We start from the raw sequence: 23,663 nt of genomic DNA, 5'->3' as shown, positions 1-23,663 counted from the left end.
CTTGGTGACAGAGTGAGTTTTTGTGTCAAAAAAAAAAAAAAATCCCATTTACGATAGCATTAGCATTATCAAACATCTAGGAAACATGTTTTTGTTTTTTTGTTTTTTTTAAAAAAAAAAAAAGAAAGAAAGGCAACACACCTATACAGAGGGCCTGCTCTATAAGATATCAATACCTTTTATAAAGCTAAAATAACTATGAAAGTATGGTATTGTGCAAGGATTGACACGAACAGATATTGGAAAGGAGACATGTATGAATGTACACTTAATTTACAACAAATGTGCAAGGCACTGAAAAAATAAAAAAATCAGCAAATGATGTTTAGCCAATAAGACACCCACATGACAAAAACTGAACTTGACCTCAACCTTACACCATACACTAAAAATTAATAAGTAGAATACAGATGTAAATATGAATGATAAACAATAATTTTTCCAGAAGTTACTAGAGTCTTTTGATGACATCAGGTGGGGATGACTTATTAAAAAGTATGAAGATGCTGATTTTTCATCAATATGACAATGTTAAAATTAAGAACTTCTGTTCACCAAAAAGACACCAAGATGATGGCAAGAAGGCAAATATATGTATAAGAAGGTGTTTTTTCAACAGTCAGAAATGAAAAAAGGCATATATATCATTTGCATACAGAACTCCCTTACATATTAAAAAGACACACAGGCCAAAAAAAATATGAACAGGAAACATGTACATGCATTTCACAAAAAGAGATATCCAAATATCTGGTAAACTTCTGAAAAGATGCTCAAATTCCAACCTAGATGGACATCAGATTGACTAAATTTGAAAGGCTGAAAATACCAAGTGTTAGCAAAGATAGGTGAATATCGAAACTCTCACACATGGCTGGTGGGAATAAAAACTAGTACAACTACATTGAAAGACTACTTCGTTATACCTACTAGTGTTAACGCATAAATTCTATGTCTGGAGTACACTCAACAGAAATTAATATATTTGTACATTAAAAGGCATGTAAAAAATTTTCAAAGCAGTATTATTCATAATAGCCATATATAATAAATAAAATGTCTATCAACAGCAAAATGAATGAATATTTCAAGAAATGGTACTGAAATCTGATCTACACACGGGTAATTCACAGAAGAAGAAACGAGATTGGCCACGAAACATATGAAAAATGTCCTGCCTTGGAAATTACAACCACAGTGAGATACATTTTGCACCCATTAGACTAACAATAAAAAGGGTTAATGTTAGAAAATACGTATGTTGGCGGCATCATTCACAATAGCCAAGGTACGGAAACAACCTAAATGTCCATCAATGGATAAATGAATTAAGAAAACATGATATATACACAAAATGAAATATTATTCAGCTTTTTTTAAAAAAGGAAAATTTTGCAATACACGACAACATGGATAAACCTGGAGGTAACACAAGCCAGTCACAGGACAAATACTGCGTAATGCCACTTAGATGAGATATTTAAAATAGTCAAACTCATAAAAGCAGAGAACAAAACAGTGGTCACCAAGGGCAGGAGAGAAGGGAAATAGAAAGTTGCTGTTCAATGGGTAGAATGTTTCAGTAATGCAAGATGAGTAAGTTCTAGGGATCTGCTATACAACATTGTACCTATAGCTAACAATATTTTGTTGTACCCTTAAAAATCTGTTAAGATACCTTTGGGACTAAGAGGAATTCAACAGAGGAGGGGTACTCGGGTTTTTTGTAATACGTTATTTCTTAAAGCAGATGATGGGTACAAGCATATTCATTAAATCATTATTTAGATACAAACCTAATATTTAATCATTCATTTTATTTAAGAGGGGGTGACCAGATTATGAGTGATTTGAAATCCAGAGATGTTGCATTTGATAAGTAGACAACAGGGAGTCACTTTACACCATGATGTAGAAAACTCAGGAACAGCTGTAAGCAGAGTACACCAAATAGAAGAAAAGCTATAACTTGCATAATGTAGATGTCAGATGATGAGTCTTCCCTAGGATTTGGGAAGTAGGGGAAAAAAAGAGAAATCAACAGACACTTTGTGACCTCTCTCCTTTTCCCTGGTGTCTCTGTGCCCCCTTTACACTTCAAAGGGCATTCTAAGGAAAACTCGGCCATGGGAACATTGGATCAACTTCCAAAGTAGGATGGGTTCCCAAAAACCATCCAGGCTGTGCCTCCTATCACTGAAGAAAGTCGCACTGAGGCAACACTGACTAACATAAAGCTCTCTGATCTTTCCAACCTGGGAAACCTCAAAGGAGTATGCCTTTTTCATTTGGGGTGACAAATATGTTAGGTTTATTACTTTAATGCATGACTTTTCTACTCTACCAAGCACATAATACTTATGTATTTTAGATTTAACCGGTTGGCAGTGACTTTGTTCTCAGCATGGCTGATGAAAATTAAGAGTTCATGCAGAGTATGTTTCTCCCACTCAGACTAGCCTCTAGCATCCCTGCTGTTCCTTTTAAGTTCTGATTTATCACGAAGCTTGTCTGGGTCTTTGCTTCGTCCATGTCTAGAGAGTACAGATACACATGTGCTTACAATTACATTTGTCAACAAGTCTCTGTGGACAGTGAAAAAGCAGGTCAAAATTTTGTGTGATTTTTACAGGTTGCTTTTGAGATAAAAACATGCTCTTAGTTATCACAAGAAGTGAAACTTGTTACCTAAATTTGTATTTAAAACTTAAATTTTAAGTGATGGCAGGGCTGGGATTTACCTCTGAACTTTCCATTACGCCAAACTGACTCTGTTCTATAGCATACCTGGATTTCAGTAAAGCATCTCTTCATCCTTTTGTGGCCAAAATAGACATCTCTGCATTAGATTAGCTAGTGTGGCAAATGAGATCACTAAATGGTTTAGTAACATTGACAACTAATGAACAATGGTACCTTGAAAGGCAAGTTGACGGTACTAAGCCATACCCCAACCTATAGCCCACCACTAGGAAATACCTGGCTTCAAATCAGGCGTTGATGGTGCTGATTATGGTGATCTAACATGCACATGAACTGGGATGATCTGTCCCACAGATGAGAGAACCAGAATCCAAAGCGCTCTGTACTGCCTGAAATGATTGCCCTCAGGTAGGTAGCAAAACGAAGTTTTGTTAGATGGACAAACACATTTATCCATCAAACATGCACCATGCGTGCTGTGCTGGGTGTTGAGGGAAATCCTGATCTTCTCAGCTGACATTTCCTTCCCAGTAGGGATGCATCCATTAGCGTAACATCCCCAGCCTCCTGCTGCTGCTCTCTCACTTCTCAAGGGAGGTGAGGTTATTTATCCAACCGATGAGTTTGGAAGGAGAAATGAAACATGAGCAGCTTAGCCCCTTCCAGTCTCCCTCCTGAGAGCTTGCTGGCCAAGGAGAACCAACACTCTCTTCTTCTCAGCACCCTAAGTTTACAAGTGCAGGCACCCACATGGGAAGCCTACGGCTGGTTAGTACTGTCTGTGACAGAGTGTTCAGTCTAATTCTGGGATGCTATATTAAGAAGTTCATTGTTACTGCATATGTAAGTCATCCCCCCCAAGCCAGTTTGTGTTAGTAATAAAGTTTATATACTTACATATAAACTTTATATGCACATGCATATACACACACACATTTATTGTGCAATTGGCTCTGAATTGGTTCTCAGGCAGGAAAAGGTGGTATTCTTTTATTGGATCCCTTCAGACCCAACATTGGACTCTGAGGTTGTGGGTAGGGAGAAGGGAACTCATTGTTCCATTTATAATAAGCTGACTCTTTACCGAGGTCTCAGCAAGTTCTCACAACGGTGATAGGTCAGTGCTAGCATTCCTATTTTGCTGCTATGGAAAATGGAGCTTAGTTATGTGCCTGGAACCACCAATAACAAGCAGTAAAGCCAAACTCAACACCAGGTCTGCCTGCTGCAGAAACTCTTGTCTCCCTCTGCATTACCCTATCTCATACAGATAAACAGTAGAGAGTCACTGTCCTTGAGGAGCTCTAGCTTAGCCACAACCTGCTATTTTAGCCTGGCTCCTGAAAGCCTGACATTTCTGCCATGTTCCTGGGAAGTATCATGGCTTTATATTTCTTCAGAGTAACAAATCTAAGTATGTAGTAGTAGCTTCATATGACACATATATACTGAAATAATTTTAAATATACTGAGGGAGGAGGATTGCTGTTTATTTGTAAAGTAAAGCACTCTTCAGTAATTCAAATATTTATCATTTATGTTTTTGTATATTTAAATATTTAAATGATGGTGTTCCTTTCATTAGGACATATCAATTCTGTAACTATTTTTATTGCAGAGTTACTTTTTAACATTGATATAAAAACTGAAGTGTTGTACTTTTTTTGTCTTTACAATTACAAGGTTGGATTTGAAATAGATGTCTGAAAAGGTTGTATGAAGCATAAAAGTCCTATTTATTAATTTCTTAACTTTGCAAAGCAGTTTACAGTTGTCAAAACATTTTAGCATGCATTCTCTCATTAAATCCTGACAACAACCCTGATGAAGGAGAGTGCAGCTATTATTATCTCTCTGTTCTTAATGAGAAAATATGTTTCAGCCCATTCTTTAATGTGGCTCAGGTTGCAGATAAGGGAAGCTGAGAGCTCAGGTTTTGAAATTTATCTCTTGAATTCTGGATCTATGCTGAGAAACAGTTCTCTCTTCAACAGTTGGGAAAATGTAGATTTACCAGCATATAGTGCTTGCAATCAATTTAGATACTGAGATTAGATAGTCAATAGTCAGGACTGCTGAGGGAGAGTTTTTCTGTAGCTACAAAAAAGAAAAAGAAAAGAAGGAAAAAAAAAACAGGCTTTAAACAGAGATATGAAACAAGATTTGGACTGACATTCAGAATCAAGGTCCCCAAAATTTGTTCCACCTGCCCAAGCCCTGAAGCCCAGCACCCCACCCCATTCCTACACACACACACACACACACACAAACACACGCACACACGTGCGCGCACACACGCGCACACATACACACACACACGCACACACGCACACACGCGCGCGCACACACACACACACGCACACACACACACGTCATTGGCCCTGCAGACAAAGTTCTTTCTGCCCCTTATTCAAAATGCAGTTCCAGGCCATTCTACAGAGACAGGAAGGAGTAAAGAGCCAAAGACACTTGAGGCATGCCGAGAGAACGTTAGAACCATTTAAGAACATTCAGTGCTCTGAGTAAGAAACATAGTGAGCAGCTTGGGAGTCAGTACGGAAGCAATTAAAGTTTGTTTTCTTCTATGTCCTTAAAAGCTACTGAGTGAATGCTGGAATGAATGATCAGGGTTCAGTGTAACTTCCACACAGACGAAAATATTTTAAAAGGTTCGGTTTGTGATAATGGCACTTAGTTTGAGATGCTATGCATCTGATTGTATCTGGGAGCCTTTTTTTCTTAACCAGTGCTCTAAATATAATGGAGTTTATTATGTATAAGTAGAATATAAACTTATTGGATATTCATAATTGTGCTGAAACAAACAATAAAAAGAAAAATAGTAACAAAAGGTCAGATTAGAGACCTTTGCAGAAAGCAATATATGTGATCCCTATTGAAAAAGCTACACATTTTTGCAGAGGTTTATACCTAACATTGGAATGCATGTTATTTTTTAAAATAATTTCAAACACAGTTTCCCCCAGTGATCTTATAACAAGCAGGCATTTGAGGCAACTTTTTAATTGAACTGAATATTATACATAATAATTTAATATACATTTAGAAAAGTACCTAGATCGTAAGGTACATACAGCTTGAGGAGTTTTCACATGGTGAACACACCTGTGTGAATATTGCCCAAAAGAAAGAGACCATTGTCAGCATCCCAGAAGCCCTACAGCTACTAACACCTCTCCTGTCACTTCCTTCCTCCAAGGTAACCACCATTCTGACTCCTCACAGCACATTTCGTTTTGGCATAAGTTCAATTTTCATCCTAAGGATGAGGAGTCAAGGGTTCATGAAGCTGCCGTGACCCTTCCATGGTCACACAATTCTCCAGTCTGCCAGATCCAGGTCTCATTTCCAGTCCTGTGCCCTGTCTTCTATCCCATACTGCTACATTTCCCTTCAATCTTCTGGAAAATAGAGATGATTTTGTACCATACTTGTTGTTCATGTCTATTTAATACTAACAGAAAGCTGTGATGATCATCCTGAATATGGATGTCCAAATATGACTTTTATAAGAATATTCCAGGCAGCAAGCACCACTCCTTGTTGTAGCCTTTCTACCCCTTCTTATGAATGGAATCATGCTGCAAAAATCAAAGTTCTTACCAATTTTCAGTCCTAATGTCACACAGCTAAATAATTACATTCATGTCATCTTTGGAATGCAACATATTGCTAACTTTTTTTTTAAATCCTGGTGAAATAGCTCAAATATTGGTAAAGGGGAGAAACTTCCAAGCAAGTAGCTGCAAGAGAAACATGAAAACAGTGTAATTCTGATAGTTACCAGGTAATAAAGTTAGTGGTCTCTATAAAGAAATTATACCTTTCTTCAAGAAAGTTAATGCAAATGATTTTTTTTTGCCTCACTTTGTTTTCTCTAATTAGCTGACATTTAAGTGGGTTGATCTTACTCTCCACTTTCCCTTTGACTTGGAGAAAAAGAATTTGTCAGACACTGCTGACTTTTCAAAGTTATCACCTTACAACTTCCAAATTAAGCTTCCGGATTAAGCTTGGTCAAAAAATTACCTTAAAAAAATTATTTATTTTCAATGTAGAGCAATTCTGATACTAAGATCAGAATTTATATAAGCTATGTTTTTTAAAAAGGAGAAATGATGGATATTCTGCTAATACATTGCATATAACTGTAGATAATGAGCCTACAATAGCTGAAGACTATTAAGATTATGCAGATAAAAACATCTCATCCCTAAAAGAATGGGTAAGCAAAAGCTTCTCCTCCTCTATAATGTCAGCATTAGAAAGCAACCAGAAAATAGAAAAAGTAAAAACAACTTCTGAATGAGGTAATACAGAAACAGCATTCTTTCTATAGCACTGAATTATTCAAAAATATAATGAAATTCAAGGAAACATCAGATGCTGCAGGTACATGAAGACAACTTTGTTTTTATAACCAATTTCAGGCAGATAAATACTAGAATCCTTTCCAATTTCTCCCCTATGAAACTGAAGTGTCACCAAGATTTACAGCCCCCTCAAGTTCCCTTTTCAGAGGAACATTCATTTACATAAACAGATAATCCTAGATAAAAATTTCCATTAGACAAAGGTGAAATGGATCAATTTTCTCTGCCAAGACAAATCTTAAATCTTGAACAGATAGGGTCATTATTACACCAGCCCCATTTCAGAAATAATGTATTTTTAAAAAATCAGCCGATAGCAGCCATTTCCAGCTTTCCAATTATCTTTAAGAAAAGCTTATTCTGTGGACAATAAAGCACATTACTGCACAATATGATACAGTCCATAAAGATCACAATGTTTTATGAAAGGTTAAAGAAAGCTCAGCACATTTAGGGGAATGTCATAACCCGCAAAGTCTTTCAAGACTTCAGCTGAAGCTGAGGGCATGCTGTGCAAACACGGTACAAGGCAACTCAGTATTCCTTTCGGTATCAAAACACTGAAGGAAAAAGCATATGCTAGGATGATTCTGTTATGAATCCTGCGATTCCTACAGACAAGATGGGAGAGAAATCAAATCACAAGAAATATCTCTTTGTTTTTGAAACAACCAGATTCACTCATACGAGAGTTACATGTCCACAAGAAGGCAAGTGTATTTTCTTGGTACTCAGTGTCTGTCTCACTGCTCTTTAAGCAACTCTTTCATGCTGTTTCATTAATATTAATAAAACTATAGAGAAATAAGAAGTTATCTGGTTTCCCCCCATTCTTTGTAAAATGCCCTAGTAATTTTAAATGACTAAGGAGCAAGAGATGTGTGCAATGATACTCACATAATAATTACACAAGGAAGTCCAAATTCTTGGATGCCTCATATATATATATATATACACACACATATATATTACATATATTATATATACACATATATATTATATATAATATATATGTGTGTGTATATATATATATTAGTATCAGTATGAGTCTGGAGATTTGGAGCTCACTCCATATTTTCTTCTGTACCAACCATCAACTGCATGAAACTGTTTCAGAGGCTAATGCTTTCTTATCAAATTAACAGAGAAATAATTCACTGTACCTGTAACAGGCAAGGCTACAATGGGGAAAGAGATAAAGGAGACCCAGTCTCAGTCCTTTCAGGAACTTATGCATACCATGGAAGGTGTGGAGTACAGGTTGGGGGCAGACTATTTAAATTTGAAATTCAGATTAAAATTAGAATATAGAACTGGATGAAAGAAAATTCCATCAGATTCACTCAAATTGCAATGAACCTAAAAGAATGTGATTCTGCAAACTCCCAAAATTATAGTTTGAGGTGAATAACAGCTTTGAAGAAGCTTGAGACAGTTTTTTCCATGTTATCCAGAGATGGGGAAATACCTAAATCTTCTAAATACTACTGTATGAGAGAATCCACTGAAGTCCAAGTTATTATTTTTAAAATGATTTTTAAATAAAATTCATATCAAGTAGTCTTCTAGATTATGTAACTAAAACAAGATTCAGTTCAGGAAATAAATTACCTTTAATACAATCATAAATTCAACAGATATTTAAGCTATATTCAAATATTTTATTTAAAGAAAACTCAGCAGAGGCAGAGTCAAATACACTGTTCATTCTTCTAATAGGACAGACCACCTAGGAGAAGTGAGAAGTGGAGGGAGGAGAGAAAATTAATCTGTTCCATATTTCCAAAGGCCAAAGTTTTTATGTAATAGGCCAAAATAGCAAGGGAAAAAGAACGTGGCTGCCTAGTTGTCGTTTGAATAATAGAGATTTACAGGTCAAAAAATAGATGAAGTTGGACGCATGGTTCTGGGATTGAGCCAGGTAGATTGAATAGAGGCAAATTCTTCTCTTGAATGCACGTTCTCATGTTGCACCAGAGAGCGGAAACTGATATGCCAACATTTCCCCCTCTAAAACAGTTGTCCATCCTGAGCTTCTTATTAATGCTATTCTTCCTTGCTTGCTTCTTTTCTTCACCTGCCCAGAAGACAGGAATATCAGGAGAAAGTTCAGAAGAAAGTTCCCACCCATGTTCACATAACAGGTGCATGCCTGTGATCAAAATACTTAGTAGGAATAGAAAATAAGTCTTCAGTCCTATAATGAGATGGGAAAATAATTTTATACTTAAAGTTGGCACCAGATTCTTTGTTGTGGGGTGTAAGGGACACCTTGATAAGTACTTGGAATAGAATATGAGACCTCAGGGTACTAGGCTATGCTCTGAATATGACAAGGAAAGAAAAATGTGTTTGTCTTTCTAACAACGAGAGGAAGATAAAGCAGGGGTGGGGAGCAGGAGCAGGTGGGGCCAGAGAACTGGCAGAATGCTGTAAGGAGCACAAAGTGACTTGCCACTAAAATCCACAACAAACTCACTAAATGTTTGATGTGAGTGAATTTCATACGGAAACAAATAAAGGAGCAAAACAGTGAATTGAAGTGAAAATAGCAAAGCCTCTGCAAAGGCAGGAACAGACCACAAGCACAATGAAATCAGCAGAAATCTTCAAGAAGCTTAGAACCCTAAAGGGCAGTGGGATTCGAGGTTAGAGGCTATCCTACCTTGCTCTCAAGTTTGAAGGGTCCCCAGGTGTCTGTCTGGAACAAGACTTCTAAGCTACCTTTTGCTTTGCAAGGGATCTTTACAAGTCAATAGAAGGAACATGAAGGAGAAACTTGTGGCATTGCTTTTATAAGCATACTTTTCTGAGTAGAAGTGCACCTTAAATGTCATTTTAACTTTTTATGTGCATGTAAATAGCTATTATTTCAGTTGCTGGAATATTAGTCACAACATCTAATGATGTGGAGATTGTTGCCTTATAAAACTCACAGCTGGGTAGCTACATGGCTCAAGGCAAAAGCCTATTTTAAAATCCATTGCTTTAGGAGGAGAATGTTTATTAAAACATATATCTATTAAAAATATATGATGCCTCATTGGTCATTCTCTGTGTTGCAGTGCCAACCACAGTTTTTCCAGCAGGGCTGAGTTGATACCTGAAAACTTGGCAAGGTCCACAGCCTCATAATTTACCAGTCCATCAAAAAATAAATAAATCCCAATAACCAGAAAGTAAATCACCAAAGGTGCCTGCACAGCAGCCCATAAACTCGTGTTTACACAGGCTCCATGGAGGTAGCCATTGCTGTCAGTAAAATATTTCTAAGCGTGTAGGGAAGTGAATGTTCAAAAAGGAATAAATGCTTGATCTCCTTGTGACAGAAGTTAAATGAATTAATAATGAAGATACAGTAAGTGGGACTGATATTTGTAAAATGTAGAAAAGTGTGCTGGGGAAAATAAGGAAGACTAGTAACTGGTGTTAACAAGGGCTGAAAAAAAACATACAGAAAGACTGGTAACTTCATGTAATTAAGCTACAATCTACCTTCAGTAGTTCTCACAATGTTGCTTAAGTTATAGAGGAAGATAATCTTTTCACCAACAGTAACAAACTAAGAGTAACTTGTAGGGATAAACAATTTCCAAAGAAAAACTCCTGCCTTTTAAAAATGTACCATTAGCCCAATCCTGATGTCTACCCTTGTTTAAAAAGTAGATTACTTAATCTCTGGATAGTCTATCATCTAAAATAAATAGTTGAATATATATTTTTGGTCTGAACCTAGTAGAGGTTCCATAAACACATGGTTCACTGAATCCAAGTCCTTTAATTGTGCTTATTTTCCTTTCTGCCACCAACTTTGCACGATTATTTTGCTTTAATACATTTCCATCAGGGTAAACCCCAAAAAATGTAGAGATGAAAATGTTCCAAGAGGGTAAAGGTAACGAGGCATGTGAAAATGTTTTTCAACAAAGTTGAAAAATGAGATTTAGAATAAGGCTTATCTTTGACTTTCAACTATTATAATTCTCTGTTTTTCACCATTATCGTGATGTAGAAGCAATGGAAAGGGTCATTCAACTGAAACCTAGAGAGCAATGGAACTAATTAATTGACCAAGTAACTTTCGCAAAGCCAATGGCATAGAACCTCTAAATCTATCTTTCTGGAATCCAATTAAGAGCTCTACTCGGTGCTGATCCCATGTCTCTGCTTTACCCTTATCTACATGCATCCAGGGGTCTGTAAGAACACTGAGTACACCTCCCAGCTCCTCCCAGCTCCCCACTTTGAGGCACTTTTTTCCCCAGCTGCCTGGATGGTCCAGCTGTCACTGGTTCACAGCTGAGTCCCTCCCTGGGCACTACCCTCAACAGAAGGGACCTGCCTCACCCCAAATTAAGCAATTTCCCATAGGGCAGCCCCACAGCCAGTAAGTAGTCAGTGTGGGGATACAACCCCCTAGAACCTGACCTATAATAGGGTTTCTCTTTTAACTTACAGCAAAATTCGACTGAAACCTAGAGAGAAAAAGCCCCATTGAAAGCTATCCAATGTCCATCCATTGCCATTTTTTTGTGCGCAGTTGATCTCTATTGTTCCACCTAAAGAACACTCTATTGCTAATAGCCATCCCTTTACTGACAGAGACAAATCATATTGATTTTACAGAAAAGTGGGATTAATTCTCTACTGAACTCAGGAGAGAATTATTTCATATCTCCTTTCAATACCATCTTATTCATGCCCCTTCCTCAGGCAATTGTGGCCATATTCCTAGAGTAGAAAGAAAAACTAGACCTGAAATGGAATCGTTTATGAATACTTCCAAAGGAAATAGGCCAATTCTAACCAATTTTCACCTTTATAATTCAGTAACTCCCTTGAATGAAGCTGTCTGCTGTGGCCCACCTGGGATGTCACAAGAACTAGCAATTTTGAAGTTTTCTTACCTGTTGGAAGGTCTAGATCGCCTCCACTCACCAAGTCTTTTCTCCAACTACCAGGTTGTAATAGGTAAAATTATTCTTCCATCCTTGGAGTTGTTCATCCAGACTTATTTGGAGAAATAATAAAGGTTTCAAAATGTAGAGTTTTTACTTCGGTAGCCATGGTGCATTTGCTTCCTATCATTGCTATACCAAATTTCCAAAAATATAGTGGCTCAGAACAATGCAAACTTATTATCTCACAATTCTGTAGTTCAAAAGTCTGAAATATGCCTTACAGGCTAAAATAAAGGTGTTGGCAAGGCTGAGTTCCTTCTGGAGGCCCCAGAAGAGAGTTCAGCTTACCTTTTCTAGCTTCTAAAAGCTGCCCACACTCCTTGAATCATGGCCCCACCCTTCATCTTCAAGGTCAGCAGTGTAGCATCTTCAAAAGTCTGTCTCTCTGCTTCTGTCACAATTTGCTTACTCTGACTCTGCTGTCTCCCTAGTAAAAAGATAACCTCCCGAGGTGGAGCCAAGATGGCCAAATAGGAACAGCTCCAGTCTACAGCTCCCAGCGTGAGCGACGCAGAAGACGGGTGATTTCTGCAGTTCCAACTGAGGTACCGGGTTCATCTCACTGGGGAGTGTTAGAAAGTGGGTGCAGGACAGTGGATGTAGCACACCGAGCCTGAGCTGAAGCAGGGCGAGGCATTGTCTCACCTGGGAAGTACAAAGGGTCAGGGAATTCCCTTTCCTAGTCAAAGAAAGGGGTCACAGATGGCACCTGGAAAATCGGGTCACTCCCACCCTAATACTGTGCTTTTCCAATGGTCTTAGCAAACGGCACACCAGGAGATTATATCCCGCGCATGGCTCAGAGGGTCCTACGCCCACGGACCCTTGCTCATTTCTAGCACAGCAGTCTGAGATCAAACTGCAAGGCAGCAGTGAGGCTGGGGGAGGGGCGCCCACCATTGCCGAGGCTTGAGTAGGTCAACAAAGCAGCCTGGAAGCTCGAACTGGGTGGAGCCCACCGCAGCTCAAGAAAGCCTGCCTGCCTCTGTAGACTCCACCTCTGGGGGCAGGGCATTGCCAAACAAAAGGCAGCAGAATCCTCTGCAGACTTAAATGTCCCTGTCTGACAGCTTTGAAGAGAGTAGTGGTTCTCCCAGCACACAGCTGGAGATCTGAGAATGGACAGACTGCCTCTTGAAGTGGGTCCCTAACCCCCAAGTAGCCTAACTGGGAGGCACCCCCCAGTAGGGGCAGACTGACAGTTCACATGGCCAGGTACTCCTCTGAGACAAAACTTTCAGAGGAACGATCAGACAGCAACATTTGCTGTTCCCCAATATCCACTGTTCTGCAGCCTCCGCTGCTGATACCCAGGCAAACAGGGTCTGGAGTGGACCTCCAGCAAACTCCAACAGACCTGCAGCTGAGGTCCTGACTGTTAGAAGGAAAACTAACAAACAGAAAGGACATCCACACCAAAACCCCATCTGTACATCACCATCATCAAAGACAAAGGTAGATAAAACCACAAAGATGGGGAAAAAACAGAGCAGAAAAACTGGAAACTCTAAAAATCAGAGTGCCTCTCTTCCTCCAAAGGAATGCAGCTCCTCATCAGCAACGGAACAAAGCTGGATGGAGAATGACTTTGATGAGTTGAGAGAAGAAGGCTTCAGACGATCAAACTACTCCGAGCTAAAGGAGGAAGTTCGAATCCATGGCAAAGAAGTTAAAAACCTTGAAAAAAAATTAGACGAATGGCTAACTAGAATAACCAATGCAGAGAAGTCCTTAAAGGACCTGATGGAGCTGAAAACCAAGGCATGAGAACTACGTGACGAATCCATAAGCCTCAGTAGCTGATTCAATCAACTGGAAGAAAGGGTATCAGTGATGGAAGATCAAATGAATGAAATGAAATGAGAAGAGAAATTTAGAGAAAAGAAAATAAAAAGAAACGGATAAAGCCTCCAAGAAATCTGGGACTATGTGAAAAGACCAAATCTATGTCTGATTGGTGTTCCTGAAAGTGATGGGGAGAATGGAATCAAGTTGGAAAACACTCCACAGGATATTATACAGGAGAACTTCCCAATCTAGCAAGGCAAGCCAACATTCAGATTCAGGAAATACAGAGAACGCCACAAAGATACTCCTCGAGAAGAGCAACTCCAAGACACATAATTTTCAGATTCACCAAAGTTGAAATGAAGGAAAAAATGTTAAGGGCAGCCAGAGAGAAAGGTTGGGTTACCCACAAAGGGAAGCACATCAGACTAACAGCGGATCTCTCAGCAGAAACTCTACAAGCCAGAAGAGAGTGGGGGCCAATATTCAACATGCTTAAAGAAAAGAATTTTCAACCCAGAATTTCATATCCAGCCAAACTAAGCTTCATAAGTGAAGGAGAAATAAAATACTTTACAGACAAGCAAATGCAGAGAGATTTTGTCACCACCAGGCCTGCCCTACAAGAGCTCCTGAAGGAAGCACTAAACTTGGAAAGGAACAATCGGTACCAGCCACTGCAAAAACATGCCAAATTGTAAAGATCATCAAGGCTAGGAAGAAACTGCATCAACTAACGAGCAAAATAACCAGCTAACATCATAATGACAGGATCAAATTCACACATAACAATATTAATCTTAAATGTAAAGGACTAAATGCTCCAATTAAAAGACTCAGACTGGCAAATTGGATAAAGATTTGGCTGGATAAAGAGTCAAGACCCATCAGTGTGCTGTACTCAGGAAACCCATCTCACATGCAGAAACACACATAGGCTCAAAATAAAGGGATGGAGGAAGATCTACCAAGCAAATGGAAAACAAAAAAAGGCACCAGTTGCAATCCTAGTCTCTGATAAAACAGACTTTAAACCAACAAAGATCAAAAGAGACAAAGAAGGCCATTACATGATGGTAAAGGGATCAATTCAACAAGAAGAGCTAACTATCCCAAATATATATGCACCCAATACAGGAGGACCCAGATTTATAAGGCAAGTCCTTACAGACCTACAAAGAGACTTAGACTCCCACACAATAATAATGGGAGACTTTAACACCCCACTGTCAACATTAGACAGATCAACGAGACAGAAAGTCAACAAGGATACCCAGGAATTGAACTCAGCTCTGCACCAAGCAGACCTAATAGACATCTACAGAACTCTCCACCCCAAATCAACAGAATATACATTCTTCTCAGCACCACACCGCACTTATTCCAAAATTGACCACATAGTTGGAAGTAAAGCTCTCCTCAGCAAATGTAAAAGAACAGAAATGATAACAAACTGTCTCTCAGACCACAGTGCAATCAAACTAGAACTCAGGATTAAGAAACTCACTCAAAACTGCTCAACTACATGGAAACTGAACAACCTGCTCCTGAATGACTACTGGGTACATAATGAAATGAAGGCAGAAATAAAGATGTTCTTTGAAACCAATGAGTACAAAGACACAACATACCAGAATCTCTGGGACACATTCAAAGCAGTGTGTAGAGGGAAATTTATAGCACTAAATGCCTACAAGAGAAAGCAGGAAAGATCTAAAATTGACACCCTAACATCACAATTAAAACAACTAGAGAAGCAAGAGCAAACACATTTAAAAGCTAGCAGAAGGAAAGAAATAACTAAGATCAGAGCAGAACTGAAGGAAATGCAGACACAAAAAACCCTTATAAAAACCAATGAATCCAGGAGCTGGTTTTTTGAAAAGATCAACAAAATTGATAGACCGCTAGCAAGACTAATGAAGAAGAAAAGAGAGAAGAATCAAATAGATGCAATAAAAAATGATAAAGGGGATATCACCACTGATCCCACAGAAATACAAACTACCATCAGAGAATACTATAAACACCTCTATGAAAATAAACTAGAAAATCTAGAAGAAATGGATAAATTCCTTGACACATACACCCTCCCAAGACTAAACCAGGAAGAAGTTGAATCTCTGAATAGACCAATAACAGGAGCTGAAATTGAGACAATCATTAATAGCTTACCAACCAAAAAAAGTCCAGGACCAGATGGATATGCAGCCAAATTCTACCAGAGGTACAAGGAGGAGCTGATACCATTCCTTCTGAAACTATTCCAATCAATAGAAAAAGAGGGAATCCTCCCTAACTCGTTTTATGAGGCCAGCATCATCGTGATACCAAAGCCTGGCAGAGACACAACAAACAAAGAGAATTTTAGACGAATATCCCTGAAGAACATTGAGGCAAAAATCCTCAACAAAATACTGGCAAACCGAATCCAGCGGAACATCAAAAAGCTTATACACCATGATCAAGTGGGCTTCATCCCTGGGATGCAAGGCTGGTTCAACATACGCAAATCAATAAACATAATCCAGCATATAAACAGAACCAATGACAAAAACCATATGATTATCTCAACAGATGCAGAAAAGGCCTTTGACAAAATTCAACAACCCTTCATGCTAAAAACTCTCAATAAATTAGGTATTGATAGGACGTATCTCAAAATAATAAGAGCTATCTATGAGAAATCCACAGCCAATATCATACTGAATGGGCAAAAACTGGAAGTATTCCTTTTGAAAACTGGCACAAGACAGGGATGCCCTCTCTCACCACTCCTATTCAACATAGTGTTGGAAGTTCTGGCCAGGGCAATCAGGCAGGAGAAGGAAATAAAGGGTATTCAATTAGGAAAAGAGGAAGTCAAATTGTCCCTGTTTGTAGATGACATGATTGTATATCTAGAAAACCCCACTGTCTCAGCCCAAAATCTCCTTAAGCTGATAGGCAACTTCAGCAAAGTCTCAGGATACAAAATCAATGTGCAAAAATCACAAGCATTCTTATACACTAACAACAGACAAACAGAGAGCCAAATCATGAGTGAACTCCCATTCACCATTGCCTCAAAGAGAATAAACCACCTAGGAATCCAACTTACAAGGGATGTGAAGGACCTCTTCAAGAACTACAAACCACTGCTCAATGAAATAAAAGAGGATACAAACAAATGGAAGAACATTCCATGCTCATGGGTAGGAAGAATCAATATTGTGAAAATGGCCATAGTGCCCAAGGTAATTTATAGATTCAATGCCATCCCCATCAAGCTACCAATGACTTTCTTCACAGAATTGGAAAAAAATACTTTAAAGTTCATATGGAACCAAAAAAGAGCCCTCATTGCCAAGTCAATCCTAAGCCAAAAGAACAAAGCTGGAGGCATCACACTACCTGACTTCAAACTATACTACAAGGTTACAGTAACCAAAACAGCATGGTACTGGTACCAAAACAGAGAGGTAGACCAATGGAAGAGAACAGAGCCCTCAGATATAATGCCACATATCTACAACCATCTGATCTTTGACAAACCTGATAAAAACAAGAAAGGGGGAAACAACTCCCTATTTAATAAATGGTGCTGGGAAAACTGGCTAGCCATATGTAGAAAGCTGAAACTGGATCCCTTCCTTACACCTTATACAAAAATTAATTAAAGATGGATTAAAGACTTAAACGTTAGACCTAAAACCATAAAAACCCTAGAAGAAAACCTAGGCAGTACCATTCAGGACATATGCATGGGCAAGGACTTCATGTCTAAAACACCAAAAGCAATGGCAACAAAAGACAAAATTGACAAATGGGATCTCATTAAACTAAAGAGCTTCTGCACAGCAAAAGAAACTACCATCAGAGTGAACAGGCAACCTACAGAATGGGAGAAAATTTTTGCAATCTACTCATCTGATGAAGGGCTAATATCCAGAATCTACAATGAACTCAAACAAATTTACAAGAAAAAAAACAACCCCATCAAAAAGTGGGCAAAGGATATGAACAGACACTTCTCAAAAGAAGACATTTATGCAGCCAACAGACACAGGAAAAAATGCTCATCATCACTGGCTATCAGAGAAATGCAAATCAAAACCACAATGAGACACCATATCACACCAGTTAGAATGGCGATCATTAAAAAGTCAGGAACAACAGGTGCTGGAGAGGATGTGGAGAAACAGGAACACTTTTACACTGTTGGTGGGACTGTAAACTAGTTCAACCATGGTGGAAGTCAGTGTGGCGATTCCTCAGGGATCTAGAACTAGAAATACCATTTGACCCAGCCATCCCATTACTGGGTATATACCCAAAGGATTATAAATCTTGCTGCTATAAAGACACATGCACACGTATGTTTATTGCGGCACTATTCACAATAGCAAAGACTTGAAACCAAGCCAGATGATCAACAATGATAGACTGGATTAAGAAAATGTGGCACATATACACCATGGATACTATGCAGCCATAAAAAAGGATGAGTTCATGTCCTTTGTAGGGACATGGATGAAGCTGGAAACCATCATTCTCAGCAAACTATCACAAGGACAAAAAACCAAACACCTCATGTTCTCACTCACAGGTAGGAATTGAACAATGAGAACACATGGACACAGGAAGGGGAACATCACACTCTGGGGACTGTTGTGGGGTCGGGGGAGTGGGGAGGTATGGCATTTGGTGATATACCTAATGTTAAATGACGAGTTACCGGGTGCAGCAAACCAACATGGCACATGTATACATATGTAACAAACCTGCACGTTGTGCACATGTACCCTAAAACTTAAAGTATAATTAAAAAATAATAATAATAAATAAAATAAAATAAAAGATAACCTCCCATCTCACACCCTTTATCACATCTGCAAAGTTCCTTTTGTTACGTAGATTAACATATTTGCAGATTCTGAGATTAGAACATCTCAGAATGGACATCTTTGCAGGGCCATTTTTCAGCCTACCTTACATAGCTATTTATTTTTCCAAGGAAATAAAAAAGAATTACCTGCATTCTCCAGGATAACTAGTTGTAAAGTTCAGGTCACAGTCGCACCTCATAAATATTGTCTCAAGCTTTTCTCCCCAGTTCTGCAGCTGCATAACCAAACACCATTGTGCTAGTAGAAGCTCATCCACTCAGCTGCATAACCAAACACCATTGTGCTAATAGAAGCTCATCCACTCAGCTGCCTGGTTTCTGCTAACTCAGCTGGGAGCCTATAAATTTGGTGAAGCTGTATTTGTGGGAATCCTTTCTCGGGTTTAGAGGGGTGGAGAGCTAGGCCTACAACCTTCTTTTAAACAGGCAAAAACTGAAACTGTTTAACTGAAAGTACTGTCAAATATTTTCATGTAAAATGAAAATGTAGACTTTTTATGACTTGCAGGGCTCTTAGGGGATCTATTTAATGAATTGTCTCATTTTACCAGCAATAAAACTATCGAGGAGAAAGATCAAGTCAAGCTCACCAGCCTCTGAGTAGCAAACCTCAGACTTGGTTTCCTTATCTTCTGCTCCACTGCCAGGAAGGAAGAAAGGAAGGCAGTAAGTAAAAAGGGAAGGAAGGAAGGGAGGGAGGAAAGAAAAAGAGGATTAGTTCATGTCCTTTGTAGGGACATGGATGAAATTGGAAATCATCATTCTCAGTAAACTATCGCAAGAACAAAAAACCAAACACCACATATTCTCACTCATAGGTGGGAATTGAACAATGAGATCACATGGACACAGGAAGGGGAATATCACACTCTGGGGACTGTGGTGGGGTGGGGGGAGAGGGGGAGGGATAGCATTGGGAGATATACCTAATGCTAGATGATGAGTTAGTGGGTGCAGCGCACCAGCATGGCACATGTATACATATGTAACTAACCTGCACATTGTGCACATGTACCCTAAAACTTAAAGTATAATAATAAAAAAAAAAGAAACAAACAAAAAAAAAAGAGGCAGATATGCAATTTAAAGGGCAAATTAGTTATCTGGGTGATGAGCGTTGCACACCTCTGCTCTGTTTCCACTTGTAGTCACTAATAAATAATCTCAATGTTAAAAATAAACAATAAAAAAAAAGAAAAAGAGGATTAAAATCATTCGAAAACCAAAATTCAAAGAGATCCAGTGTGTCCACTCAAGTGCAGACATCTGATATAGTCAGCTCTTGATTAATGATGATAAAGGTGAAGAGAGATGAAAGTCATGTATAATTCTAAACCCTGATTAAAACAAAACTAGTCTGAATCTGGTAGCAAGTAAATTTATATAAACATATTTTATTGTAATTATATCTAATATTTAGGAACACATTTACCACTCCACAGATGCCCAAAAGTGTAAAAATAACCCTAGTGCAACTCATTAGGAACACTAAACACCAAATGTGTCACTTGATGAGAAACTGCTAAAGGCTTGCTAATAAATAGTCTAATTTCTATTTGCTTCCCAGTTAATCTCGTTTTTAAAAATGTTAGAACACAACTAAGTTGGGCAGAGGAGTAATCTCAATGCTTAGATCTTCCTCTGTCTTCTCCTTCTCACTTAATTTCTCAACCCTGTCTTTAGAGTTCTTGAATCCATGGCCCTCCTAATCCCATTTGGTTTTGCTTACAGTAAACAAAAGCTTCCTTTTTGAGGGACCATTGACTCTGGGATGGAGCCCAGAAATAACCTGGTGGTCTCACTAGAGGGGTTCTGATGATTACCAGGCACCTGCAACAGAAGCCTTCAGATATGTGGACGTTTGCACTGATTGGGGGTAATTTTTCTATTTTATGCACTTTTAATGCATTTTCTATTAATCAACAAACAGAGAACACAACCCCAAATAACTGAGCAATGACCACGGCTAAAAAGCTGGAATGTGAATTCAGCTTTCCGGGATTCCCAAGCTTCTTACTGCCCACAAAGCAGGACACAGACATGCAGAGATATGTGCTCAAAAACTGTCTTAAAGCCGTATACAAAGACAGCATCACTTTGAATTATGCTACAAAACAGTGCCTGAAAGTTGTGTATGAAGTAAATTTCCATTACAAGAATCACAAATTGATATTTTATTTTGAAGCTATTTACAGAGATGTGTTACACAAGTCCTAAAAATGTGTCTCCCTGACCATGCCACATGCATGGGCAGAGGAACACAGGCACACACATGTACATATACACAAGCCCCTTCACCTGGCTGACTTTTTCATCACTCCTCATCACTTCATCAGGCAAGTCTTCCCAAACCCTCCAGACTCAGCTCAATCCCCCTCATCTTCTCATTGTCTCTGTAGCTCTTACCATAGTTGCCAACTGATTCATTATTTGTTAGCAGAATAGGATAGTGTTTAAGTGTCAGATTCTCAAGCCAATCTTCCTAGGTTCAAATATCAGTTCTGTCACCTACTGGTTGTGGGATCTTGAGCAAGCTCCTTAACCTTGCTTTGCCTCAGTTTCCTCAACTGCAAACTAGAGATCAGAGTTCCATCTTCTGGGATTATTGAGTGGAACATGTGAGATAACGCATGTAAAATATTTGGGAAAGTGTCCAGTACATAGTAAGTTCTATACAGGTATTTGCTATTATTATTTATCAGCTGTGAGCATCACTCATTATGCTGTAAGGTGCACAAAGGCTGGAATTGTTTCTGTATTTCCCACTCCTCATATCTGCTTTCAAATAGTTTTTGGAGGAAGAAAGTTGTGAAATCCCAAAGTTTCCTCTGCCATCACTAAATCTCTTCATCTCATTCACAGCTCTGCCACATTCTCTACGGTCACCACCATTGGAGTTGCTGTCACCACAGCTACCACAGCCCCTTTACTGACACATCCAAATACCTTAAGTTCAAAAGGCTGTGGCATCAGATTCAGAAAGAAGAGTGCTAATTCTAAAAGATAGCCATTCGAGCAGCAGCAATGTAACAGATGTTTTGTTGATTTAGCAATTATTTCAAAGGTAACAAAAACTCTGGCTAACAATAGAGGAGGAAGGAGCTTACGCTCCAGAAGAAACACACCAACAACTACAAATTCACAGCCACTATCCACCAAGGGGGTACAAAATAATAGTAAGAATAACAATAACAAAAACAACAATGAAAGCACTAAGATGCTTTCAAGGGAGGCACCATAGCAGAGTCGTCATGAGCACAAGACCTGGATCCTGCCAATCTGGGTCTCAAGCCCATCTCTGTTACTTACTAGCTGTGAAACGCTGAGCTGTTTCTTAATTTTTACGTGATTTAGCTTCCTCTCTGAAAAATGAAGATAAAAATAGTATCAGCACCACTACAGTATTACTATAAGGACTAAAGAATTACCTTTTGTAGAGAACTTGGAACAGTGACTGGCACATAAAAAGTATTCAATTAATGTTGGTTATTTTTGTTAATTGAAAGAGTTTTCACAGACATATCTCAAAGGACCAGCACTGAGAGTTTTCCACACATATATTATGCAGACACACACACACCCAAGACCTTTTTCCCGACACCTCACATTAACACTACACTTTGATACAGTGTGTACTCTCTCAGGCCCTTTCCTTGGGCTCTTACACAAAGCCAAGAGTTCTGCCTGTTGCTCTTTTCCCTGATGTGACTATTACCTGTGTTAAGACAGGTATCTTAACATGCATAGATCTTAAATCAATCTATGCATGGCTACCATTATTTCACTGCAGAACACGGACTAATAGTCCCAGCTTTACTTCTCAATCGAGGCTTTCTGTAAGAAGAAGAGCTTCCTATCCAGGTTTTCTTATGAACACACAAAGACCAATCTTTTATCCATGGCCTAACCCAGTGTTTACCAAACTTGAATACATCTGAAGACTTGCAAAGCTCTATCAATTTCTGTCTGAGAGACATATTCCAACCCTTAAATTTATGAAAGACTCAACAAGCTGAAAAAGCAAGCAATACAATTTCAGAGAAGTAGTTTATCCAAGGATACATGGACAGTAAAAAGTAGAACTATGCCTTAAAACCCTTCTTTTGACTTTAGTACAATGTTTTCTTTTAAATTTTATTTATTCAAGAAGTTTGGAATTTAGAAATCATGGAGATGATTGGGCAAACCTAATACTAAAGGAAAAGTCAGATAATCCATAATATCATTGCTTTTTATCCCATTAAAAAAGCTGAGAATACTAATAAAGCTAACTTAACTAAAATCTGTATAGTTATGATCCCGTTCTATAAAAGAAGAGACCAGTGAATTTTTTCATCCCTGGTGGTGCAGCAGGAAACAGAATCTACCACAGAAAAGAAAATGAGGAACTACATGAATCTTAGACAACTATTAAGACCTGTGTGTGAACTAGCTTGACATGCTGGAGTCCCAAGGAACCCATCCACACCATCAAGCTGTACTCACCTGCCAGCACTTTACCACAGGTCTTCACCAGGCACAGAGGAGGACTATACTGAAGACTGAGGGAAAGTCAAGAAATCTGAGAGAGAGAGATCCTTGAGGCATGTGAACCTTCCCTAAGTGCAAGGCAGCATCCCAGTGAAGACTGGAGTCAGGGCAGAAGAGTTAAAAGAAATCTGTCTGAGAAAGTCTAGGCCTTCACTAGGTCAAAACAGTTGCAACGGAGGCCAGAAATAAGGCAGAAGAACTGAGAACAGTTGCTCAGAGTGTTGCAAACTTTCATTAAGTACAAGGCACTGGATGCCAAAGGCTTGAAGCAGCAGAGCAAAAAGAAGAGAGACCTCCTGAGATTAATAAAGTCAGAAACAGGAAAGGAAAAAGAACTCCCTAGCAACCAAAACAGTCTGGGAGCACACAGAGATCTCTGAAATCTTGCCAGTGCTCAGA

The 23,663-nt window shown here is 38.8% G+C and overlaps 1 long non-coding RNA gene across 1 annotated transcript in view; it reads right to left on the bottom strand.

Annotated features, from left to right (window-relative positions):
* The window catches only part of LINC01088 (long intergenic non-protein coding RNA 1088), a 337,052-nt gene extending 313,704 nt beyond the window's left edge, over positions 1-23,348 (bottom strand). The window contains exons 1-2 of the long non-coding RNA NR_038342.1: positions 23,220-23,348; positions 22,044-22,096 (exon numbers count right to left, since the gene is read on the bottom strand). This is a non-coding gene — a long non-coding RNA (long intergenic non-protein coding RNA 1088). The remainder of the gene's footprint in view (positions 1-22,043; positions 22,097-23,219) is intronic.
* Positions 23,349-23,663: the final 315 nt, after the last annotated feature.

The sequence above is a fragment of the Homo sapiens genome, chromosome 4 (genome assembly GCF_000001405.40).
Source record: "Homo sapiens chromosome 4, GRCh38.p14 Primary Assembly".
Lineage (NCBI taxonomy): Eukaryota > Metazoa > Chordata > Mammalia > Primates > Hominidae > Homo > Homo sapiens.
Note: the sequence above shows the minus strand (reverse complement) of the source record. Positions and strands in the feature narration are given on the sequence as shown.